The 27706-nt window shown below is 34.9% G+C and overlaps 1 long non-coding RNA gene across 2 annotated transcripts in view, besides 1 other annotated feature; it reads left to right on the top strand.

Annotated features, from left to right (window-relative positions):
- Positions 5708-6262: an enhancer, noted in NCBI's record as "NANOG-H3K27ac-H3K4me1 hESC enhancer chr14:28142501-28143055 (GRCh37/hg19 assembly coordinates)". NCBI's record gives its function as "activates a minimal SCP1, AML or CMV promoter by ChIP-STARR-seq in naive H9 embryonic stem cells {active_cell/tissue: H9 hESC(naive)}" and the evidence as "EXISTENCE:reporter gene assay evidence [ECO:0000049][PMID:30033119]".
- MIR3171HG (MIR3171 host gene) overlaps positions 6336-27706 on the top strand; it is a 351396-nt gene continuing 330025 nt past the window's right edge. Inside the window, exons 1-2 of one of the 2 annotated variants that reach the window (NR_148991.1) lie at positions 6336-6528; positions 23055-23114. This is a non-coding gene — a long non-coding RNA (MIR3171 host gene). Of the gene's footprint in view, positions 6529-23054; positions 23220-27706 lie in introns of both variants that reach the window. The other variant, NR_148992.1, reaches the window with a different exon arrangement.

The raw sequence follows: 27706 nt of genomic DNA, 5'->3' as shown, positions 1-27706 counted from the left end.
TAGCCCATAGTGTAATACCACTATTTAGGTTTAAATTGAAATATTTTAATATTCACAAAAGGCATATCTGTAATTATACTAGACATATATCAATAAATTACATTTCTTCAGATATACATGTCTATGCTTTGGAGTGTATATTTATCACAGGTTTACTTGACAATTACAGATTATTAGGTACTTCTATACTCAAAACACATAAACAGATGTTCACTTATTATTAAAGTTTTCACTAAATGATTTACAAGTTAAATATTCATACATGTTGTTCCAACTGTGTAACAAACCACCCTTAAACTTCCTGGTTGAAAAGAGCAATCATTATTGTGTTTACAAATCTTCAATTTGGGCAGGGCTTAGTGGAAATAGGTGACTTTTGCTCTAGGCAGTCAAGTGGGGCAGGAATGGGCTGGAATATCCACCGCTAATTTGCTGGGCTCTTTTATTTATTTATTTATTTATTTTATTATTATTATTATACTTTTAAGTTTTAGGGTACATGTCCATATTGTGCAGGTTAGTTACGTATGTACACATGTGACATGCTGGTGCGCTGCACCCACTAACTCGTCATCTAGCATTAGGTGTATCTCCCAATGCCATCCCTCCCCCCTCCCCCCACCCCACAACAGTCCCCAGAGTGTGATATTCCCCTTCCTGTGTCCATGTGATCGCATTGTTCAATTCCCACCTATGAGTGAGAATATGCGATGTTTGGTTTTTTGTTCTTGCGATAGTTTACTGAGAATGATGATTTCCAATTTCATCCATGTCCCTACAAAGGACATGAACTCATCATTTTTTATGGCTGCATAGTATTCCATGGTGTATATGTGCCACATTTTCTTAATCCAGTCTATCATTGTTGGACATTTGGGTTGGTTCCAAGTCTTTGCTATTGTGAATAATGCCGCAATAAACATACGTGTGCATGTGTCTTTATAGCAGCATGATTTATAGTCCTTTGGGTATATACCCAGTAATGGGATGGCTGGGTCAAATGGTATTTCCAGTTCTAGATCCCTGAGGAATCGCCACACTGACTTCCACAATGGTTGAACTAGTTTACAGTCCCACCAACAGTGTAAAAGTGTTCCTATTTCTCCACATCCTCTCCAGCACCTGTTGTTTCCTGACTTTTTAATGATTGCCATTCTAACTGGTGTGAGATGATATCTCATTGTGGTTTTGATTTGCATTTCTCTGATGGCCAGTGATGATGAGCATTTTTTCATGTGTTTTTTGGCTGCATAAATGTCTTCTTTTGAGAAGTGTCTGTTCATGTCCTTCACCCACTTTTTGATGGGGTTGTTTGTTTTTTTCTTGTAAATTTGTTTGAGTTCATTGTAGATTCTGGATATTAGCCCTTTGTCAGATGAGTAGGTTGTGAAAATTTTCTCCCATTTTGTAGGTTGCCTGTTCACTCTGATGGTAGTTTCTTTTGCTGTGCAGAAGCTCTTTAGTTTAATTAGATCCCATTTGTCAATTTTGGCTTTTGTTGCCATTGCTTTTTGGTGTTTTAGACATGAAGTCCTTGCCCATGCCTATGTCCTGAATGGTAATGCCTAGGTTTTCTTCTAGGGTTTTTATGGTTTTAGGTCTAACATTTAAGTCTTTAATCCATCTTGAATTAATTTTGTATAAGGTGTAAGGAAGGGATCCAGTTTCAGCTTTCTACATATGGCTAGCCAGTTTTCCCAGCACCATTTATTAAATAGGGAATCCTTTCCCCATTGCTTGTTTTTCTCAGGTTTGTCAAAGATCAGATAGTCGTAGATATGCGGCGTTATTTCTGAGGGCTCTGTTCTGTTCCATTGATCTATATCTCTGTTTTGGTACCAGTACCATGCTGTTTTGGTTACTGTAGCCTTGTGGTATAGTTTGAAGTCAGGTAGTGTGATGCCTCCAGCTTTGTTCTTTTGGCTTAGGATTGACTTGGTGATGCGGGCTTTTTTTTGGTTCCATGTGAACTTTAAAGTAGTTTTTTCCAATTCTGTGAAGAAAGGCATTGGTAGCTTGATGGGGATGGCATTGAATCTGTAAATTACCTTGGGCAGTATGGCTATTTTCACGATATTGATTCTTCCTACCCATGAGCATGGAATGTTCTTCCGTTTGTTTGTATCCTCTTTTATTTCATTGAGCAGTGGTTTGTAGTTCTCCTTGAAGAGGTCCTTCACATCCCTTGTAAGTTGGATTCCTAGGTATTTTATTCTCTTTGAAGCAATTGTGAATGGGAGTTCACTCATGATTTGGCTCTCTGTTTGTCTGTTGTTGGTGTATAAGAATGCTTGTGATTTTTGTACATTGATTTTGTATCCTGAGACTTTGCTGAAGTTGCTTATCAGCTTAAGGAGATTTTGGGCTGAGACAATGGGGTTTTCTAGATATACAATCATGTCATCTGCAAAACAGGGACAATTTGACTTCCTCTTTTCCTAATTGAATACCATTTATTTCCTTCTCCTGCCTAATTGCCCTGGCCACAACTTCCAACACTATGTTGAATAGGAGTGGTGAGAGAGGGCATCCCTGTCTTGTGCCAGTTTTCAAAGGGAATGCTTCCAGTTTTTGCCCATTCAGTATGATATTGGCTGTGGGTTTGTCAAAGATAGCTCTTATTATTTTGAAATACGTCCCATCAATACCTAATTTATTGAGAGTTTTTAGCATGAAGGGTTGTTGAATTTTGTCAAAGGCTTTTTCTGCATCTATTGAGATAATCATGTGGTTTTTGTTTTTGGCTCTGTTTATATGCTGGATTACATTTATTGATTTGCGTATATTGAACCAGCCTTGCATCCCAGGGATGAAGCCCACTTGATCATGGTGGATAAGCTTTTTGATGTGCTGCTGGATTCGTTTTGCCAGTATTTTATTGAGGATTTTTGCATCAATGTTCATCAAGGATATTGGTCTAAAATCGTCTTTTTTTGTTGTGTCTCTGCCTGGCTTTGGTATCAGAATGATGCTGGCCTCATAAAATGAGTTAGGGAGGATTCCCTCTTTTTCTGTTGATTGGAATAGTTTCAGAAGGAATGGTACCAGTTCCTCCTTGTACTTCTGGCAGAATTTGGCTGTGAATCCATCTGGTCCTGGACTCTTTTTGGTTGGGAAGCTATTGATTATTGCCACAATTTCAGATCCTGTTATTGGTCTATTCAGAGATTCAACTTCTTCCTGGTTTAGTCTTGGGAGGGTGTATGTGTCGAGGAATGTATCCATTTCTTCTAGATTTTCTAGTTTATTTGCGTAGAGGTGTTTGTAGTATTCTCTGATGGTAGTTTGTATTTCTGTGGGATCGGTGGTGATATCCCCTTTATCATTTTTTATTGTGTCTATTTGATTCTTCTCTCTTTTTTTCTTTATTAGTCTTGCTAGCGGTCTATCAATTTTGTTGATCCTTTCAAAAAACCAGCTCCTGGATTCATTAATTTTTTGAAGGGTTTTTTGTGTCTCTATTTCCTTCAGTTCTGCTCTGATTTTAGTTATGTCTTGCCTTCTGCTAGCTTTTGAATGTGTTTGCTCTTGCTTTTCTAGTTCTTTTAATTGTGATGTTAGGGTGTCAATTTTGGATCTTTCCTGCTTTCTCTTGTGGGCATTTAGTGCTATAAATTTCCCTCTACACACTGCTTTGAATGCATCCCAAGGATTCTGGTATGTTGTGTCTTTGTTCTCGTTGGTTTCAAAGAACATCTTTATTTCTGCCTTCATTTCGTTATGTACCCAGTAGTCATTCAGGAGCAGGTTGTTCAGTTTCCATGTATTTGAGAGGTTTTGAGTGAGATTCTTAATCCTGAGTTCTAGTTTGATTGCACTGTTGTATGAGAGATAGTTTGTTATAATTTCTGTTCTTTTACATTTGCTGAGGAGAGCTTTACTTCCAAGTATGTGGTCAATTTTCGAATAGGTGTGGTGTGGTGCTGAAAAAATGTATATTCTGTTGATTTGGGGTAGAGAGTTCTGTAGATGTCTATTAGGTCTGCTTGGTGCAGAGCTGAGTTCAATTCCTGGGAATCCTTGTTGACTTTCTGTCTCATTGATCTGTCTAATGTTGACAGTGGGGTGTTAAAGTCTCCCATTATTAATGTGTGGGAGTCTAAGTCTCTTTGTAGGTCACTCAGGACTTGCTTTATGAATCTTGGTGCTCCTGTATTGGGTGCATATATACTTAGAATAGTTAGCTCTTCTTGTTGAATTGATCCCTTTACCATTATGTAATGGCCTTCTTTGTCTCTTTTGATCTTTGTTGGTTTACAGTCTGTTTTATCAGAGACTAGGATTGCAACCCCTGCCTTTTTTTGTTTTCCATTTGCTTGGTAGATCTTCCTCCATCCTTTTATTTTGAGCCTATGTCTGTTTCTGCACGTGAGATGGGCTTCCTGAATACAGCACACTGATGGGTCTTGACTCTTTATCCAATTTGCCAGTCTGTGTCTTTTAATTGGAGCATTTAGTCCATTTACACTTAAAGTTAATATTGTTATGTGTGAATTTGATCCTGTCATTATGATGTTAGCTGGTTATTTTGCTCGTTAGTTGATGCAGTTTCTTCCTAGTCTCGATGGTCTTTACATGTTGGCATGATTTTGCAGCGGCTGGTACCGGTTGTTCCTTTCCATATTTAGTGCTTCCTTCAGGAGCTCTTTTAGGGCAGGCCTGGTGGTGACAAAATCTCTCAGCATTTGCTTGTCTGTAAAGTATTTTATTTCTCCTTCGCTTATGAAGCTTAGTTTGGCTGGATATGAAATTCTGGGTTGAAAATTCTTTCCTTTAAGAATGTTGAATATTGGCCCCCACTCTCTTCTGGCTTGTAGGGTTTCTGCCAAGAGATCCGCTGTTAGTCTGATGGGCTTCCCTTTGAGGGTAAGCAGACCTTTCTCTCTGGCTGCCCTTAACATTTTTTCCTTCATTTCTACTTTGGTGAATCTGACAATTATGTGTCTTGGAGTTGCTCTTCTCGAGGAGTATCTTTGTGGCGTTCTCTGTATTTCCTGCATCTGAACGTTGGCTTGCCTTGCTAGATTGGGGAAGTTCTCTGGATAATATCCTGCAGTGTGTTTTCCAACTTGGTTCCATTCTCCCCATCACTTTCAGGTACACCAATCAGACGTAGATTTGGTCTTTTCACATAGTCCCATAGTTCTTGGAGGCTTTGCTCATTTCTGTTCTTTTTTCTCTAAACTTCCCTTCTCGCTTCATTTCATTCATTTCATCTTCCATTGCTGATACCCTTTCTTCCAGTTGATCGCATCGGCTCCTGAGGCTTCTGCATTCTTCACGTAGTTCTCGAGCCTTGGTTTTCAGCTCCATCAGCTCCTTTAAGCACTTCTCTGTGTTGGTTATTCTAGTTATACATTCTTCTAAATTTTTTTCAAAGTTTTCAACTTCTTTGCCTTTGGTTTGAATGTCCTCCCGTAGCTCAGAGTAATTTGATCATCTGAAGCCTTCTTCTCTCAGCTCGTCAAAGTCATTCTCCATCCAGCTTTGTTCCGTTGCTGGTGAGGAACTGCAAACTGCATTCCTTTGGAGGAGGAGAGGCGCTCTGATTTTTAGAGTTTCCAGTTTTTCTGTTCTGTTTTTTCCCCATCTTTGTGGTTTTATCTACTTTTGATCTTTGATGATGGTGATGTACAGATGGGTTTTTGGTGTGGATGTCCTTTCTGTTTGTTAGTTTTCCTTCTAACAGACAGGACCCTCAGCTGCAGGTCTGTTGGAATACCCTGCAGTGTGAGGTGTATCAGTGTGCCCCTGCTGGGGGTGCCTCCCAGTTAGGCTGCTCGGGGGTCAGGGGTCAGGGACCCACTTGAGGAGGCAGTCTGCCCGTTCTCAGATCTCCAGCTGCGTGCTGGGAAAACCAGTGCTCTCTTCAAAGCTGTCAGACAGGGACATTTAAGTCTGCAGAGGTTACTGCTGTCTTTTTGTTTGTCTGTGCCCTGCCCCCAGAGGTGGAGCCTGCAGAGGCAGGCAGGCCTCCTTGAGCTGTGGTGGGCTCCACCCTGTTGGAACTTCCCAGCTGCTTTGTTTACCTAATCAAGCCTGGGCAATGGCGGGCGCCCCTCCCCCAGCCTCGCTGCTGCCTTGCAGTTTGATCTCAGACTGCTGTGCTAGCAATCAGCGAGACTCCGTGGGCGTAGGACCCTCCGAGCCAGGTGCGGGATATAATCTCGTGGTCCGCCGTCTTTTAAGCCCGTCAGAAAAGCGCAGTATTCCGGTGGGAGTGACCCGATTTTCCAGGTGCTGTCCATCACCCCTTTCTTTGACTCGGAAAGGGAACTCCCTGACCCCTTGTGCTTCCGGAGTGAGGCAATACCTCGCCCTGCTTCGGCTCGCGCACGATGCACGCACCCACTGACCTGCGCCCACTGTCTGGCACTCCCTAGTGAGATGAACCTGGTACCTCAGATGGAAATGCAGAAATCACCCGTCTTCTGCGTTGCTCACGCTGGGAGCTGTAGACCAGAGCTGTTCCTATTCGGCCTTCTTGGCTCCTTCCCTGGGCTCTTTTATATTGCTGGCAAAATAGTGGTGAGTGAGGTCATTGCTGTTTGAGTCCATTAACCTCAGTTCTTTTCTATGTGAATTCCTTTGTGGTGTGTTTGTTTTCCTTTTCTTCCTTTTCCTTCACATACATTTTCTCTTATCTTTCTAATCATTTTCTGCTAATGCTTTCATATATATGTTGTAATGCTTCATAGTCTCTCAGAGGTCTCAAAGAATTTCCTCATTTTTAAAAATAATTTTTCTTTCTGGTCTACCAATATGATTATTTCCATTGATCTATATTGAGTTTATTGGTCCTTTCACTTGCCATCAGAAAATTGCTGTTGGGTATACATAGTAAATTTTTAATTTCAGGTAATTTTCATTTCAATGCTCAACCTTTCTTTTGGCCCTATTTCTTAATTTCTATTTTCTGTAGAGAGTCTTTATTTGTTGACTCATTATTGGCATGGTATCTTTATATTTTTTACATATGTTTACTTCAATTATCTGATTATATTTATAATAGTTGCTTGGAAGTCTTTTCTTACTAAATCCAAAATCTAGGCCCACTAAGCTGACAAGTTGTTATCGAATGCTTTTTTATCGTGAGTGTGGGTCACAATTTTCTTCCTCTTTATATGTCACTTATTTTTGGTTTGAAATCAGATTTTTACATAGTATAATGTGACAGCTCTAGGATGTGGTATATTTTATTTTTGAGAAGTTCTTTTGTTTATGTGCTTTCCTAACTTAGCTGGATTTATCACAGTGTTATTTGTTTCCCTGCATTGTTTCCACCAGGTGGCTATCTCTCATCAGATTTTATAATTTCCGTTTACGGTTTTTAGCACGGCTAAAGTCCAGTCTTGTGGTTGCATAGTTTATTGGTCTGCCAAGGTTTTGACAGAGGTTGTGCTCAAATAGTCCAAGCTCTGATGGCTGAGCTATATGTTGTTGAAGGCATTCAAACTTGTAACCAGTTCTTAAGTGTCTCTTGAGTTTCAAATTTTGTTTTGCTCTCTTGGGTCTCCTGAACATATACAGCTATCAGTTAACCAGGGCTTTGGGGATTTCTGAAGACATTCTCATCCGTATGTATTTCTCACTTCTATTTTCTTCCCTTTAGATTTATGGCCAGTCTGCTAATAACTCTAAAAAGACTAATAAACTGCTGTTTTTCTCTATCTGTTTTCCATCTCCCATTCTGAATTGAATCATTCACCTTTAGCAACTACAGATCCCACACCCTCACCACCACATCCTTGAGGCAAGAATCTACTGAGCCTGAGACAGTAGGAATAGGAGGAAATAGGGGAATGGGTATGATGGCCAAAAACTCAACACATTTCTTATACAACACTGTAAGAATTTTTTTTAAGTAAATTCTCACATTTTTAAACTTCATTTATCAATTTTCAGTGCTCTTAATGATTTTCTAGAAAATTGCCTCCCAGATTTTCTTGTTTTCTGCAAAGAGAAATTATATGACCTCCTTCTATTGCCCCACCAGAAGTTAGAGACTTCTAATCAGTTTACCTAACTTAAATTCTTTCTTTTCCTTTTTTCTACTACTTGCTTTGTGGCCTAACATATGTTCTACCCTGGGGTATGTTTCTTGTGCACGAGAGAAAAATGTGTGTACTGCTATTGTTATATGGAGTGGTTTGTATATGTCTGTTAGGTCAAAATAGTCTATAGTGTTGTGGGTACTGATGTCTTCTACTATTATTGTATAAGCGTTTTGTTTTGTTTTTCTCTCTTCGATTCTGTCAATGTTTGCTTTATGCATTTTGGAGTTCTGATGTTGGGTATCTATATCTTTATAATTGTTATGAATTCTTCATGAATTGAGCTTTCTCATTGTATTTTCCCTTTTCAGCCTCTCATAGTAGTTTTTGACTTGGTCTATTTTGTCTGATATTAATAGAGAAGCCCTGCTGTCTTTTAATTACTGTTTATACAGAACAGTTTTCCATCCTTTCATTTTTAACCTATGTCTGTCCTTATATCTAAAGTAGACAGCATATGGTTGGATCACGGTTTTATTTTAATTCATTCTTTCAATTCATATCTTTTGAATTATAAGTCTAATACATTTACATTTAAAGTAATTACTGAAAGGGAAGCACTTAGTTTTGTCAGTTTTTTTGTTCCTTTTTTTGTATGTCATAAATTTTTATTCTCTCTTTACCCTCATTACTGTCTCCCTTTGTGTTTATATTTTTGCAGGAGTATGTTTTGTGTTTTGATTCACTTCTCATTTCCTTTTCTGTATATTCTGTCTATATTTTCTTTATGGTTATTATGGACAGTACCTATAATGTCCTAAAGTTATAATAATTTTAAATTAATATCAACCTAACTTTAGTCACATACAAAACCTCGACTCCTTTTCACCTCTGCTCCTCCATTTTGTCATAGACTTCACAATTTACATCTTTATATACTGTATCCAATTAACATAGATTTAATCTTATTTTTATGCATTTGTGTTTACATAACTATAAAATAAAAACTAGCAAGGCGCAATGGCTCACACCTGTAATCCCAGCACTTTGGAAGGCTGAAGCAAACAGATCACTTGAGATAAAGAGTTCCAGACCAGGCTGGCGAATATGGTGAAACCCCGTCTCTACTAAAGATACAAAAATTATCCAGGCGTGGTTGCAGGAGGCTGTAATCCCAGCTACTTGGGAGGCTGAGGTGGGAGGATTGCTTGAACCCTGGAGATGGAGGTTGCAGTGAGGTGAGATCGTGCCACTGCACTCCAGCCTGGGTGACAAAGACTCCATCTCAAAAAAAAAAAACAAATAAATAAACACAAAAAGCTACAGTAACAAAACAATACAATTGTGTGTATGTGTGTGTATGTGTGTGTGTGAGTGTGAGTATACTTATTTTTTTGTCTGCATACTTAGCTTTACTGAAAAACTTAATATTGCATACAGCTTCAAGTTATTCCCTGGCGTCCACTCATTTTAAATTTAATAACTTCCTTTCTCATTCTTGGAGAGCAGTTCTACTAATAATTAACTCCCTAAATTTTTGTTTCTCTAAGAGTGTCTTAATTTTTCCTTAATTTTGAAAGATAGTTTTGCCAGATGTATGATTCTCCACTAATAGCTATTTTTTTTTTCATCAGTTAAAATGTCACCTCCCTTCTGGTCTATGTGGTTTCTGAGAAATTCACTGGTATGTTTACTGAAAATCTCTTGCATCTAATGAGTTACATTTTCTTTCTGCTTTGAAGATTCGTTCTTTGTCTTTGTCTTTCAAAAGTTTGATTATAATGGATTTCTGTATGGGTCTTTTTGGTTTATCCCACTTGGAATTAATTAACTTCTGAGATTTGTATGTCATACTTTTTTCCTCAAATTTTGGAAGTTTTCAGCTATTAGCTTTAAAAATAATTTATCTTCTCTCTATTCTTCTCTTGATGATCCCATAATGCACTTCTCACAGTGAAACTTCCTGGTTTCCATAAGTCCTTTAGGTTCTGTTCACAGTTTTTCATTGTTATTTTCTGTTCCTCAGACTCAATAAATTTACATGATTTTTTCAAGTTTACTGATTCTTTTATCTGTTCAAATTTTATGTTGCACACCTCCAGTGAATTTTTCAATTCAACTATCATATATTTTGGGTTCCAAATTTCTATTTAGTTTTTTGTATATGATTAACTTGTTTTTGTTAATATTCTCATTTTTGTCCATGAATCATTTCCTGACTTCCTTCACTATTTTTCTCATGTTTCCCTTATCTCTTTGAGTATATTAAAGACAATTATTTTAAAGAGTTTTTCTCGTATGTCCACTGCATGTGTTTTTTCAGACTGGTTATGTGATTATTTTCTTCCTTTAAATGGGCCATGATTTCCATTTCTTTGTATGGCTTATGCTCATTTTTTGAGAATTAGGCATGTTAAGAAACAGCCAGGTTCCCCAGCCTTGACAGTATGGTGTGAAGACCTTTGCTAATTAGCAGTTCTCTGAGCCTTGATAGCAGCCTGGAGCGAAGGACTGCCTGCACGTTGTGCACATACACCCTAAAACTTAAAGTATAATAAAAAAAAAAATTTCGTCTGGTATAATTTTTAGATATGCTTCCTTTCTGAGCCCACGTGTGTGCTTCTTTATTTTTCCCAAAGTTGCCTTTAAGTGCTTTAATTCCTGAAAAGTCCCACTCTAGCTTCCTCTCTGGGCCTTAGATATTTTGCTTTATTCTGCTACCCATAACCTCTTGCCTCAGGCATGCATGGGTCTGATATCCCCCTGTAGTTTGCATGTACCATGATACTCACCACTGTCTCCACAGCTTCCAACCTAAGAATCTAATTGCTGCCATTCTGCTCTGATCTCTAAGTCAGATAAGACAAATACTGGTCCCTCAGGCAGCTTACAGATGGGCCAAATCACTGCAGATAACTTTCACTGTACTTTTTTTTTTTTTTTTTTTGGCTCAAGGGAAGTAACCTGAAATTGTGCAACTTTCTCCCTTCTGTGCCACACTAGGAAAGGAGTGAGGCAAGGGTGTATAAGCATGCCACAAATTTTCCTACCATTTTCCATGTGACTTTTTCTTAAATGAGTGTTTTTACGGTTGCTGTAAATCTTTGAATAGTTTTGAGAGTTCCTGTAAAGTTTTTTATTTAGACTATTGTTGTATATTTGATGTTTATATGTGGTAACAAGAGTCTGAAGCTTACTCTCAACTTAGTTTTTTTTAATGTAACATAAGATTTTGCATAGTTAAGACATATCTCATTCTCTAGTTATATTTTTTTCTTAAGGTATAAAAGCACTTAAGTAGAGCAAAGAAGTCTCTTAACATAATACCTTGGTTGGGGCAATATAGATTGCTAGCTTCTTTAGTCTTCCCTATGAAACACACTCTAAGGAGTGCTTATCTAGTTAGATCTATACATATATATGACTGTAATCTCTTGAGATACTTGGAATCAAGTGTTTTTTTCATAGGTGGAGTGTTCATTGCTGCCTATTTGGAACTAAAATGACATTTATCTTTACTCATGTGGAGATGCCTGATAACTCACTTATATTTATCACACACTTCACAGTCAGGAAGATTGAACACAATAGATCATTCTGTCTTAGACTTATCTTGTAATTTCTCTTTGATTCCTTCTGGTGGTCGATTGGGGAAATATAGAGAGCAGTATTAGCTCACAAGATAAAATGACTTATGTTTGGGTAATTATCCTGTATTAGTATATTTGCAAATATCTCCTATTTTAAAAAATAAAGAAACACGTTATTATAAGCCCCTGGCCATTAAATATCTTTGTTACCATGGCCGCAAGTTTTTACTAGTGTGAAGAAGATACTTTTCAGTTGCAAGAACTATACATAAAGCTTCAATTCATATATTAAACATATGCACATATGTTACAAAGCTGTATAGCACAGTTACTACTGTGCTATAAGAGCACAGTGATTGGATAAGAGCATAGATTCTGGCCCTAGACTCACTGAGTTTAAAGCTTAGCTTTATTACTTACATATATCCAGGATTATCTTTTTCAGTTGTAAAATGGAATAAAAGTAGTATTTAAAAAAATGTGTTATTAGAATTGACTTATTTAGGGCCTCTTAAAATATAGACTACTTTCTGAGGAACAATATGCCCTTCAGAAATGCCATGTAATCTATATTTTTAGAGACAGGTATATGTAGCTATGGATGTATATATATTGGGGAAAATTCAGAATTTTCCAAAACTAAATAAAATGCCCAAGTTCAATTTTATTCATCTTCAAATTTATAACATTATTTTATTTAATTTGACTTCATATTCCAAATATTTCTTATGAATTTTACCTTCAACACAACTAAATGCAAATACCCATATATCATGCATAAATATAATGTTCATTGAAATGCTGGCTTTTCCCACTGAGAGAACCCAGTTTAGGTTTATTGGCTGCATAAATAGGATAACTATAACTAGGGTGGCTATAAGTAGAATAATAAACACCTTTAATAGTAAAATTGGTAAAATAATTAATTCTGCTATGATTACATGCATAATCCAGGAATGTTGCAGAAAATTTAGGAGGTAAATATTTGGTTTCAGGGTCCATAGTTCTACGGCTAATTGTGAAATCATCAGGATATAATTTGAAGTTTCAAAAAGAGCATAAATAAAATATAGATAAATATTACCGAAACAGAAACTGTATCATAATCCAATCTTGGCCCTAATTTTATTAAATTGGCTAGCCCTACATTATCTATTTAACAAATATTGAATGAACCCTCTCTTATTGGATGTAAAAAATTGGATGCTTTTATAATTAAAAAAAAATAGAGAAAAACATGGTGTATCACATAATATTTAATTATTTTTTTAAAAAAGATAGGGATAAACCAGTATGAACAATCTAGAAAAATTCAAACTCAAATATATCACTAATAATATTAAATATGTAAAAATGAAAGACTACTCACAGTAGCAAAGAATGTCAAATAAGAATAAAAATAAAATAGTTATGCTATTTACAAGACACACCTGTTGAAATAAGGCAGTGTAAATATAAATAAAAGGGTGGAATATTTATCATGTAAATGCCAAAAGAAGACAAAAAATAAAACCTACAGTTAATATCACACTCAGTGGAGAAACTGAAAGCTTTTCCTCTAAGACCAGAAATAAAACAAGTTGCCCAGTTTCACCGCCTCTATTAAGCACATTACAAAAAGTTTTAGCCATAGCAATTATGCCCAAAAAATAGACATCAAAGTTGGAAAGCAAGAAGTACAATTATCTCCTTTCACAGACATGATTTTATATGTAGAAAACCCTAAAATCTTTCTCTCTCCTCTCTCTGTCTCCCTCTCTCTCTCTGTCTCTCTCTCTCTCCCTCTCTCCTCTCTCTCTTTCTCACACACACCACACAAACAAACACACACACAATGGTTAGAGCTAAAATAAATTCAGAAAAGTTTCAGAATAAAAATCACCATGCAAAAGCCATTTGTTTCTATATACTAATAATGAACAATCAGAAAAGGAAATTTTAATAATTCATTTACAATACTATCTAAAAGAGTAAAATACTATACTACAGAGCTACAGTAACCAAAACACCATGGTACTGTTGCAAAAACTGATACATAGATCAATGGAACAGAGTGGAGAACCCAGAAATAAGACCACACACCTACAGCTATTTGATCTTCGGCAAACCTGACTTAAACAAACAATGGGAAAAGAATTCTCTATTCAAAGAATGGTGCTAGAGTAACTGGCTAGCAATATTCAAAAGATTAAACCAGGATTCCTTCCTTACATCCAACACAAGTTGGATTAAAGACTTACTGTAAAACACAAAACTATAAAAACCGTGGAAGACAACCTATGCAATACTATTCAGGACCTAGAAACAGGCAAAGATTTCATGAAGAAAATGCCACAAGCAATTACAACAAAAGCAAAAATTAACAAATAGTATCTAATTAAACTAAAGAGATTCTGCACAGCAAAATAAAGTATCAAAATAGTAAAGAAACCACCTACAGAATGGGAGAACATTTTTGCAAACTGTGCATCTGACAAAAGTCTAATATCCAGCATCCATAACTAACTTAAACAAATCTACAAAAAAAGCAAACAACCCCAAACAAAAAGTGAGCAAAGGACATGAACAGACATTTTTCAAAAGAAGATATATGTGCAACCAACAATCATATGAAAAAAAGCTCAAAATCATTGGTCATTAGAGAAATGCAAATCAAAGCTACAGAGAGATGCCATCTCTCACCAGTCAGAATGGCTATTACTAAAAAGTTAAAAAATAATGGATTCTGGCAAAGTTCTGGAAAAATATAAATGTTTACACAGTGTTGTTGGGTGTGTAAATTAGTTCAGCCATTGTGGAAGTCAGTGTGGCAATTCCACAAAGACTTAAAGACAGAAATACCATTTGACCCAGCAATCCCATTATTGTGCATATACCCAAAGAAATAAAAATTACTGTATTATAAAGACACATGCACATGTATGTTCATTACAGCAATAGTCATAATAACAAAGGCATGGAAACAACCTAAATGCTCCTCAATGATTGACTGGATAAAGAAAATGTGGCACATATACCACCATGGAAGGAATACTAGGTAGCCATACAAAAGAAAGAGATCATGTTCTTTATAAGGACATGGATGGAGCTGGAGGCCATTATCCTTAGCAAACTGACAAAGGGAAAGAAAACCAAATACTGCATGTTCTCACTTATAAGTGGGAGGTAAATGATAAAGGGCTAATATCCAGAATCTACAAAGAACTCAAACAAATTTACAAGAGAAAAACAAACAACCCCATCAACAAGTGGGCGAAGGATATGAACAGACATTTCTCAAAAGAAGACATTTATGCAGCCAAAAGACACATGAAAAAATGCTCATTATCACTGGCCGTCAGAGAAATGCAAATCAAAACCACAATGAGATACCATCTCACACCAGTTAGAATGGCAATCATTAAAAAGTCAGGAAACAACAGGTGCTGGAGAGGATGTGGAGAAATAGGAACACTTTTACACTGTTGGTGGGACTGTAAACTGGTTCAACCATTGTGGAAGACAGTGTGGTGATTCCTCAGGGATCTAGAACTAGAAATACCATTTGACCCAGCCATCCCATTACTGGGTATATACCCAAAGGATTATAAATCATGCTGCTATAAAGACACATGCACATGTATGTTTATTGTGGCACTATTCACAATAGCAAAGACTTGGAACCAAGCCAAATGTCCAACAATGATAGACGATTAAGAAAATGTGGCACATATACACCATGGAATACTATGCAGCCATAAAAAAGGATGAGTTCATGTCGTTTGTAGGGACATGGATGAAGCTGGAAACCATCATTCTCAGCAAACTGTCACAAGGACAAAAAACCAAACATCGCATGTTCTCACTCATAGGTGGAAATTGAACAATGAGAACACTTGGACACAGGAAGAGGGACGTCACACACTGGGGCCTGTTGTGGGGTGGGGGGAGTAGGGAGGGATAACATTAGGAGATACACCTAATGCTAAATGACAAGTTAATGGGTGCAGCACACCACCATGGCACGTGTATACATATGTAACAAACCTGCACGTTGTGCACATGTACCCCAGAACTTAAAGTATAATAATAAAAAATAAAATAAAAATGGGCAAAGGACTTGAAAATAAAAAAAAAAGAAAATGTAGTTAGAACTTTACCTTATAGAATATGCAAAAATTAACTCAAAGTGAGTCAAAAATCTGATTATAGATGCTAAGGCTAAAAAGTATTATTCTAATTTTTAATTTTTGTGGGTAAATAGGAGGTGTATGTGTTTATGGGATACACAACCTATTATGATACAGGTATGGAATGCATAATAACCAGATCATGAAAAAATGACACATTCATTCCCTCAAGCACTTATCTTTTGTATTAAAATCAATCCAATTACTCTTTTAGTTATTTTTACATGTACAAGTAAATTATTATTAATTATAGTCACCTTGTTGTGCTATCAAATAATAGATCTTATTCATTCTTTCTAAATATTTTTTGTATCCATTAACCATTCCAACTGCATTCCCCCTGCTGCCCCCAACCCCATACCCTTCCCAGCCTCTGGTAATCATCTGTCTACTCTCTATCTCCATGATGTCAATTATTTTAATTTTTAGATACAACGAATAAGTGCAAACATGTGATGTTTGTCCTTCTGTGCCTGGCTTATTTCACTTAACATAATGACCTCCAATTCCCCCGACGGTGTTTCAAATAACAGAATCTCATTCACTTTTATGGCTGAATAGTATTCCATTGTGTATATATACCACATTTTATTTATCCATTTATCTGTGAATGGACACTTAGTTTGTTTCCAAATCTTAATTATTGTGAACAGTACTGCAGAAAATATGGGAGTGCAGATATTTCTTTGATACGTTGATTTCCTTTCTTTTGAGTATATACCCAGCAGTGGAATTGCTGGGTTGTATGTTAGCTCTATTTTTACTGTTTTTAAAGAAACTCCAAACTATTCTCCATAGTGGTTGTACTAATGGACATACCTACCAAAAGTTGTACAAGGGTTCCCTTTTTTCCACATCCTGCCTAGCATTTGTCATTGCCTGTCTTTTGGATAAAAGTCATTTTAACTGAGGTGAGATAATATCTCATTGTAGTTTTGATTTGCATTTCTCTGATGATCAATGATTTGGAGTACCTTTTCGTATGCCTTTTTTCCATGTTTTATGTCTTCTTTCAAGAAATGTCTATTCAAAGATTTTGCCCAATTTTTTCTTTGATTATTAGGGTTTTTTTCCTGTAGAGTTTTTTAAGCCTGTTGTATATTCTTGTTATTAATCCCTCGTCAGGGGGTAGTTTGTAAATATTTTCTCCCATTCTGTGGGTTGTCTCTTCACTTTGTGGATTTTATTCTTTGTTGTGCAGAAGCTTTTTAACTTGATGTGATCAAATTTGTTTATTTTGCTTTGGTTGCCTGTGCTTGTGGGGTAATACTTAAGAAATTTTTGCCCAGTCTAATATCCTGGAAAGCTTCCTCAATGATTTCTTTTTGTTTCATAGTACGAGGTCTTAAATTTATGTCTTTAGCTTGAGTTTTGTGTATGGCAAGAGAGAGTGGTCTAGTTTCATTATTCTGCCTGTGGATATCCAGTTTTCTCAGCACTATTTATTGAAGAGACTATCTTTACCCAGCGTATATTTTTGGTAACTTTGTTTAAATTAATTCACTGTAGGTGTGTGGATTTCTTTCTCGGTTCTCTATTCTTTTCCAGTGGTGTATGTGTCTGTTTTTATGCCAGTAATATTCTTTTTTTGTTAACTGCAGCTCTGTAGTATAATTTGAAGTCAAGTAATGTGATTTCTCTAGTTTTGACCTTCTTTGCTCAGGATAGCTTTGGCTATTTGGGGTCTTTTTTGGTTCCATATAAATGTTAGCATTGTTTTTCCCATTTCAATGGAGAATGTGATTGGTAACCTGAGAGAGGTTGCATTGAATATGTAGATTTCTTTGGGTAGTGTGGACATTTTAACAATATTCATTCTTCCAGTCCATGAACATGGAATATATTCCATTTTTGTATTCTCTTCAATTTCATAGTTTTTATTGTAGATATTTTTCACTTCTTTGGTTAAGTTAATTCTAGGTCTTTAATTTTATGTGTGGATATCGTAAATGGAATTACTTTTTTAAATTCTTTTTCAGATTGTTCACTATTAGCATATGGAAGTGTTACTGAGTTTTGTATGCTGATTTTGTGTCCTGAAACTTTACCAAATTAGTTTATCCATTCTACTAGTTTTTTTGTTGTTGTTCGGGTCTTTAGCATTTACTAAGATAAAATCATATCATCTGCAAACAAGAGTAATTTGATTTCTTCCTTCCCAATTTAGATGCCTGTTATTTCTTTATCTTGTCTGATTGCTCTAGCTACGTCTTCCAGATATGCAGAGAAAAGATCACTGAACTCAGAGATATAATAATAGTAATTGATCAAATTCAAAAACAGAAATAATAGACAAGAAATGAACAGAACCTTTGGCATATGTAAAGCTATAAAGAAAACTTCAAACATGTGTGTCTTTGGAAAGCTAGAAATAAAGCTAAAAGAGGGTGGGGCTGAAAAATTATTTTTAAAAATAATGTCTATCAAATTCCCATATTTGGGGAAACATATTAACCTTCAGTTTCAAAAATTGAGTAACTACAAAGAGGATAAAGAAAAACTGATGCCAAGCTACATCACAGTCAAACTTCTGAAAACTAAAATTAAGAATATTTGGAAAGCAGACAGAGAAAAACAATATATTACTTATAAGGGAAAACATTTGGAATGGCAGGAGGTTTTTTTTTAATGAAAAATTCCAGAGACAAGAAGGAAGGGCCACAACATTTTTCCAGTGCCAAAACAAAAAAAACAAAACAAAACAAAAAACTAGCTACTCACAATTATTTATCCAGTAAAAGTTATCCTTCACATATAAATGAAAAATCAATAAATAAACTTTTTCATTACATATCTACCCTAAAATCTAGCCAAAGAACATTTTAAATCAGAACAGAAATAAAATAGAATGAACCCTGTGGTCGGGCACCATGGCTCATGCCTGTAATCCCAGAAGTTTGGAAGGCTGAGGTGGGTGGATAACCTGAGGTCAGCAGTTTTAGAGCACCCCATCTCTACCAAAACTACAAAAAAAAAATAGGTTTGGTGGCAGACATCTGTAATCCCAGCTACTCAGGAGGCTGAGGCAGGAGAATTGCTTGAACCTTGGAGGCAGAGGCTGCAGTGAGCTGAGATCATGCCATTGCACTCTAGCCTGGGTGACAGAGTAAAACTAAAAAAAAAAAAAAGAACCATGTAACACTGACAAAGAAGAAATAACAACAGAAGAAACAAAAATATAGGTAAATATAACAGATTTATCTTCTCTTCTGTTGTTTTTAAAATTATGTTTGATAGTTGAAACAAAAATTTTAATGCTGTGTCATATGATTATCAATGAGTATAGGGTAAGTATTTAAGGAATTGTATTTTAAATAAAGAAGTACAAAATGACATAAAATGTGTTAAGTTTTCTATACTTTATTTGCACTGGTAGATGCTGTGCTGGAAAGTTATATTAAATATATAAATATATATTATATAACTATATATATTAACTAGAGCAGCTACTAAAAATGTTATACAGAGAGATAAGTTCAAAAACACTATAGACAAACAAAAATAGAAATCTTAAAATATTCCACAAAACCATAGGAAGCAGAAAAAAGAAAACAGAAAAAAATAACAGAAAATAAACAAAAAAAGGTAAACTCATGTATAAATTTATCAATAAATACACTAAATATAAATGGTCTAAATACATTATTTAAAAGATAGAGATTAGTACAGTGGATAAAACAAAATGACCCAGCTATATGATGTCAGTGCATTAGCTCCATAGGGATGCCAGAGCAAAGTACCACAAACTGGGTTGCTGAAAACAACAGAGTTGTTCACTCACAGTTCTGCAATGACGAAGTCAACATTCAAGGTGTAGGTAGGTCCATGCTCTCTCTGAAACCTGTAGGAAAGAATACATATTTTCCTCTACTAATTTCTTGTGGTATTTGCCAATTGTTGATGTTTTTTGACTTGCAGCAATAGCACTTCAATTTCTTCTTCTTTAGTTTCATGACATTCTCCTTTCAAGTGTCTCTGTCCAAATTTCTCTCTTCTTACAGGGACACAAGTCATATTGGATTAGGGATCCATCATTCTTCAGTATGATCTCATCTTCACTAATTACATTGATGATGTCTTTATTTATAAATAGGATCACAATTTGTGTACTGGAGTTTAAGACATCAACATATTTTGGAGTGGACAAAATTCAACCCATAACATATAGGAAGGCTAAAAGTTAAAGAACAACAAAAAAAGATATAGTATGAAAATATCAATCAAAGGAAATTAGGCATGAGCACATTAGTATTAACAGACAAAGAAGATACCAGAGCAAAGAAAATTATGGGATAGACAGTTGTCAGTACATAATGTTAAAGGGCTAAATCCACCAAGAAGACACGGCAATCCTAAAACTACATGCACCAAACAATTAACTGCAAAATATGTGAAGCAGCATTGATAAAACTGAGCGAAGAAATAGACAAATTTACAATTTTAGTGATTGACGAATCAGCAAGATGCTAGAATAACTCAAAACCATGAACTGATAGCATCTAATTGAGATTTACAAAATGCACCTTCCAACAACATAAGAATACACGATTTTTCTCAAGTGCTCATGAAATATATGCCATGAGAGACTATATCCTGGCCCATAAAATAACTTATAAAGAATTTGAATATAAGATATAAAAAGTGTTATTTAACTATAATGGAATTAGACTAGAATCAGTAACAGAAAAACACAAGGAATGCTTTCAAACATTTGGAAAGTAACCAGTGCATCTCTAAATAATCCAAGGGTCACAGTCAAAGTCTAAAGAAATTTTATAGATACATAGATAGTTAGATACATTATAGGTATAGATATATAGTCAAAGGGAACATAAACACAAACAATTCATATATATCTAAATAAAACTGAAAACATAGCATATAAAAATTTGTAGAGCCCAGCTAAAGTTATGCTGATAGTGAGTTTATAAACCGGATGCTTATAAAAGGAGAAAAGGTTTTTAGATCAATAATCTAAGTTTCAACATCAAGAAATTATAAAGAGAACAAAATGAATCTAAGGGAAGAAGAAGAAGAAAGGAAATTGTAAAGAAAGAAGCACAAATCAGCAAGATTAAAATACAAAAAAAGAAAAAGTCATTAAAACAAAAATCAGATTATTTCAAAAGATTAGTGAAATAAATCTCTAGTAATTTGGACAAGGAAACAAAGAGAAGACATAAATTACTAATATCAATAAGAAAACAAGAGATGTCACTACAGTCAATGCAAAAATCAGAATGAGTAAATGTGAACAATTCTGTATAGATTAATTTGACCATTTGGAAGAATTGGACTAATTCCTTGAGCAGTGAAAACTGGCAAAACTACATGTGAAATAGAGTATTTGAATAGCCATATAACTATTAAGTGAACTGAATTTGTAATGGTAAACCTCAGGTAAGAGAAATCTCCAGGCCCAGGCAGTTTCACTGGAGAATTCTACCAAATGTTTAAAGAAAAATTAACACCAATTTAAAAAAATATTTTACAGAAAATAGAAGACAGAGTAATTTCTATCTCATTATATGAAGCAGAATAACCCTGATACCAAAACCAGATAATGAAATCTCTAGAGAAGAAAATTATATACCAATATTTCTCATGAATATTGATGAAAAAATTCTTAATAAAATATTATCAGATAGAATTCAACAATATCTAAGTACCATGACCAACTGGGATTTATTCCAAGGATAAAAGGCTGCTTCCATATTTGAAAATCAAACAATGTAATCTCTCTTATTATCAGGCTAAAGAAAAATAAATCATATGATAATTGATGCAGAAGAAAATGAAAATATTCAACACCCATTAATGATAAGAACTATCAGAAAAAAGGTAATAGTAATTTCCTCAAGTTGATAAAAACAATCTACCCCAAATCCCCATCTATATCTAATGTCATATTTAATAGAAATAAATTGAATGTTTTTCTTATGAGATTGAAACAAGGCAAATACAGCTACTTTTCCCTTGCTATTCAACATAATACTGGAAGTTCTAGCCAGTACTACAAGACATACACGGAAATGAAAGGCATAAAAATTGGAAATAAATAAATAAAATTGTCTCTAGTAGCAGATGCTGGAATAGTCTATGCAGAAAATCTTGTGATGAGCAGCTGTACTTGTTCCCAAGGTCTTCAGTAATAAAGTGCCCAACTGGGTGGTTCAAAATAACACAAATATATTGTCTCACAATTCTGGAGGCTAGAAGTCTGAAATTAAGGTGTCACCAGAGCCATGATCCCTCTGAAATCTGTCAGGCAGAGAAGGGGTGGATCCTTCTCTGCCTCTTCTCCCTCTGGTGCTTGTTGGAAACTCTTGGTACTCCTTGGCTTGTAGGTACTTCACTCCAATCTCTATCTGTTGTGGCATAGCCATCTTCTCTCCGTGCATCTCCCTTCTCTTATAAAATCACAGGTCATATTGGAATAAAGGCTCACCCTACATCCAATATGACCTCATCTTAACTAATTACATTTTTAAAAACTCTATTTTTAAATAAGATCACACTGTGAGTTCCTGGGAGTTAGGACTTCCACATACTATTTTGGGGGAATACAATTCAATGTTTAACTGCAGCAAAAGCCAAGTGAGGGTTAGCTATTCAGAGAGCCGAAAAAAGAGAAAAACAGAGTTTAAAGAAGGAGGTAGTATCTTTACACTGTTTTTAGTTTTGTTTATGTTTTCGTTTTTGGGTCTCTCTCTGTCGCCCAGGCTGGACTGCAGTGGCATGATGTTGGCTCACTGCAACCTCCGCCTACCTAGTGCAACCCCTGCCTCCTGGGATCAAGTGATTCTCCTGTCTCAGCCTCCCAAGTAACTGGGACTACAGGTGTGCACCACCACAACCCACTAATTCTTGTATTTTTAGTGAAGGCAGGGTTTCACCATGTTGCCCAGGCTGGTCTTGAACTCCTGGCCTCAAGTGATCTGCCTGCCTCAGCCTCTTAAAGTGCTGGAATTACACACATGAGCTACCACACCCAGCCTTTCACACTGTTTTAAGAGACTACCAATATTCAATTTTTTTGCATAGCTGTACAGTCTCTGACTTACAGTGGTTTGGTTTATGACTCTTTTTTTGCCTTTAGGATGTGTTTCTTAGGAGGTAATTCCATCATAAGTTGAGGCGCATCTGGATTTACAATGATTCAATTTATGTTTTTTAAATTTACGATGGGTTTTGGGGTATCAATTGCATTTTCAACTTATGATTTTTTTTTACTTATGATGAATTATTGGGACCTAACCCCATCACAAGTTGAAGAGAATACGTATTTCTTTTTCTCTTAGACTCCCCGTGGAACAGAGTTGTTGTTCAGCAGAAATAATCAAGAGTTGACATCATACCAGGTAAAAAATAGAAGCGGTAATTTTGAAGGTGCTGTCAGAAGAGTTATTGAAGTGGTCATGAACTCTAAAGTTACAGAGGCAATTATGTAAAGATAAAAGATAAAGGTACGTAGTACAAAATAGAGGATTCAAAGCGTTCGTGAATGTAATGAGGTCAATGACCAAGTCAGTGTACCTGAGAACTGGAAAATGAGGAAGTTGTGGTCCAGGAAGAGAGTGTTTCACTTTAATACCTAACAGCTGGAATAGTTCTCAGTGATTATGGGTTCATGACATGGATAGCAGGATCAGTATGTGAAAACAGCAGAGTTGCTTATTTTTATATTTATGAAATGAAAGAATTTAGAGACCAGGGAAGTGGATTTCTCATCTTTGTTATAGAATCACCTATGATGATGACACAACTTGGCCTGAAAAAAGTGTTTCAGTCATATTCCAAAATCTCCTTTAAAAAAGAGAATGACCAAGTAATCAGTATATAATAATAGACCAAGAAGGTTTAAATATGGTATGACTTGGATATATGAGCTCCATGTAATGGGAAAAAAAAAGGGTTTGGAAAAAGCATTAGGGAACACTACACAAATGTGAATTACATAGAGTATGGAGCAATAATTAATGTTGAGTTGAATATTGCTGGTAATGTTAAGAAGCATAGGTAAGGAATTGGGGCTTGGGAAATAAATCAGTATGATGGGACTTTGAATAACCCTTCTCTAATGCTTTGATTCTACACCCAATCTAGAGTCATGAGATGTTCCTTTCTAATAAATATTAACATATTATTTTCTTACTTAGGATGGAAGTTTTTCTCTACTTGGTTATATACTTCCCTGGCCATTTTCTAAAGTATACTGCAAATATTTTCATCGTTTTTTGATAACCACTTATACACACCAAATTTACTTTCCCAGAATAAAGTGCTACACTAAAGATTTAACTATTTGTATCAAAATATACTATAGTTGATTATTAGTATATTATTCCTTCAGAGTTAGTTTTTATTTTAGACTGCTTAGAAAGATGATAATTTTAATTTATGGTAGCTTTAATTTCAACAAAGAAATATTAGTAAAACCTTACCTGTTTTACTGCTACCCATTTCCCAAATATCTATTGATATGTTTGAAACTACTTGCCCCTGCACAAATGGCATTAAATCCAGCATTCTTTTTTATTTCTTTTGATTGTGTGGGTTTTTTCCACTTATTTCCAATTCATTAGATGTTCCTTCTTACAATCATCCGTGGGTATAACAATCCAAATTTATGGTTTGTAATATTTTATTTTTAGTTTGAAAACCAGATAACAAAGATTGTTGGAAACCTAGGTAAAAAGTAACCTGAGAAATAGTCTTAAAGAGCTTTCTCATAATTCAGATGTTTGATGGCTGAGTTCTGTATACATAAGTTGCAAATGTTTATTTTGGTTCATGCTACATATACAAGGCAGAAAGTTCTGTCTCATATAGTAACAACTCAAAGATCCAAGAAGATATAGGTTTCACTTTAGTGTAAATTTCTATACTTCTTGAGACATAAAGAAAAAAGAAGGGGTGGTAGTAGAATTTGGTTGTTAAAATGCATACCTCTAAAATGTGTAGCCTGTTTTTGGAAGGATATATGAGAAACTTGTAAGAGAGAATGTATCTGGTGAGGAGAAGTAGGTGATTTGGTAGAGGAAAAGGAAACAAACTTAATTTTCATTATTAAAAATATTTCACACTTCATATTCCAAAGCAAGTTGTGTGACCAAACCTAATTTCAAAGGAGTATGGACATGCAATCAATCCCCTACAAAGTACACAGAAAAATAAAACTGGAATATTTAGGGACAAATTAGTAATCATTACATATAGTACTAATAAATCTGTAGAAAGGAATTTCTTAATAGGACCCATAAATCCCTAGGAAGCCTAGTAAATTACCGGTCTATATAAACTCTTTGAAAATGTTATAAAATGATAAGTTTGGGGATATATCCATCGCCTTTGTCATATCATCAAAGGTTCATGAAGTTCTTCCGTTTAAAAAAAATGTAGAAATCCTATTATGTGTCAGGAAAGTAAAGATATACTTATGAATAGGAAAAGTACCAAAAATAACTGTGTAGCACTTTACTCATAAAATGTGACTACATTTGAAGTATTCTAGAAGATTTTAGTTAGGACCATATTTCTTACCCCAAAATTTCTGTGTAATAATAGGCAATATTACTTCTTAGGAATTCTAGGTGCTTCCATCTCATCTGTGCAGCAGTAAAATCAGGACATATGCTGATTAAGGGAATTGCTTTAAATTCACTGGAACAAATACCACCTTGTAACATTAATTTTAGAATGATTCTCTTTTTCCATTTAGCACATCTAGTTCTAGGTTAAATGATGTATCTGTGATCTCGGAAAAAACCAAGGTAGATGAAGAGTTATATTCCATACTAAATTGAAAAGTTTCATTCTCTATTTTCAGACTTTTAAAGCACAGGGCAAGTTTATATTGCTCTTTGCTATTTCTTCTCTTCAAGAAATAATCCACTTTTGCCATCAAAATAGAGTAGGTGAATCTGGCTCATTAAAAATGTTGTTATAAAAGTAGTTATGATGATGCAGATTAATTTCCAACCATTCAGTGCTTTAAAAACTTTAAAACATTTATTATTACCATGTTTATGTGCTGTGCTATTCAGTAAAATGACAGCAACATTTTATCTGAAGCAGATAGAGAATAATGTATTTTAAAAATACATTTATTAGACATTTTACTGAAAATACAGGGTTGTAATAATGCATACAACAGCATTATCATAAATAGTAGCTATAATAAACAGCAGTTAAAAAGATTTTATGGGAGAAATAGCTAAAAAACAGCTTTCTCTCCCAGTCTAGGATATGTATTTTAAAACTGTTAGAGAATTCTCCTAAGCCTATAGTTAATGGGATGTTTGCATTTGACTAACATAAGAAAAAAGTTGATAAAAATTCTCACTGTGATTTTTGAATGTCAGAGGTTCATATTTTTTTCTAGCTTAATTTTGTAAGCAGTGCCAATACATGCAAATTAAAGTAAGAAATCAAAGACATTACCTAGAGTAAAACAAATCCTGTTATTTCCCCCTTAATTGTGTAGATTGTTTATGTACAGAAGTGTTCAGGCTTTAAAAAATCTAGATTGTTATGTGAGTTTGTCACTCCCCATATTGTTAGTGAGATTGATTAATTTTTGATTACACAAACATTGTGGGATTAAACTGGAATTTTTGACCGGAAATGTATTATAAAACATAAGATTAGTTTTGTAAAGAACACAAAGAATTTGGGATAAGATTTTTTTAATTGAATGATTTTTTTAAATAAAAAGGATTAGTAAACATTTATGTGTTAGCAAATGTGAGTTTACAATCTTTCTTTTTTTTATTTCTTATAAAATAGACAAGAGATATTAACGTCAGCCATTGTAAAGGGCAATCAGAAAAGCCACAAGGTTTAGGCTGGAAAAGAAGATATGTACTTCACAGCTCCCATGAGATTTACACCAATAAAATAGACTTTTATGACCCTGGATGAGATTGTGTTTTAGTCTCAGACATATCCGTTTTTTATGGTCATTAAAAGTTATTGAGTTAACTGCTCATTATACAGTTTAATCTGTACCCTTACTTTTGATCTACTTTCAGGACATCTGAAGTACTTACATTAAATTAAGAGCTCTTCCAAAACTTTGAAAATGTGTAAAATTTGACTTCGGGTATAAATGTGGTTGAGATTCAGAGAGATTTTGCTGACTTGATGAAGTTATCCTTGAGTTACATACATTACAAATATATTTTCCCAATCCTTTGCTTCCATATTTATTCTCCTTAATAATTTTTTGAGGAAAACTTTCTAATTTAAATGCAGTTCAGTATATTAATTCATTTCCTTTATGACTCGTGTTTTATATATCCTTTTAAACAAAATTTTCTATACCACAATTCAGGAATGTATTCTCTTAGTATTTTCTGGAAGCACTAGGGATCTATTTTTCTTGTATATTTATATCAGTGATCCACTTGGAATTGATTTTAGGTATAGGATTATATGTATGGTGGGGTCAAGCATCATTCAGATAAATCCATAATAGAATTCTAATATTAAATAAATGTGTAATTAATGAACATACTAAAATTAAATTACAGAATATCTTGATAAAAATGGCCAAATGTTGAGGCTACCTGTGTATTCTAGAGATGTTGAGGGCTTGATAAGTACAATTCATTATGAAGAAAGGATTAAATTTTATACAATATACTTTTCAAGATGGCCAGACAGTATGTAGCTAATTGAAAAAATAAAATAAAATAAAAAACCTTGACTTTTAAAATGATTAACATGAGAGTTTGGTGTTTAAAATAAGTAATTCCCTCATTACTTATGTTAGATGCAAATTTTGTGAAATGAAGAGGGCCTAACTGAATTCTGAATATCATGATTTGTTTTATATGCCATATTTCCTTACCAAAGCTTCCCAGTGAATCCAAAATATTCAACTGGATTTTGATAATTCTTCTGGATAGCAATTATTTCAGATTTGCTTGGGGCCTGCACTGATGCCCCC

The sequence above is a fragment of the Homo sapiens genome, chromosome 14 (assembly GCF_000001405.40).
Source record: "Homo sapiens chromosome 14, GRCh38.p14 Primary Assembly".
Taxonomy (NCBI): domain Eukaryota; kingdom Metazoa; phylum Chordata; class Mammalia; order Primates; family Hominidae; genus Homo; species Homo sapiens.
Note: the sequence above shows the minus strand (reverse complement) of the source record. Positions and strands in the feature narration are given on the sequence as shown.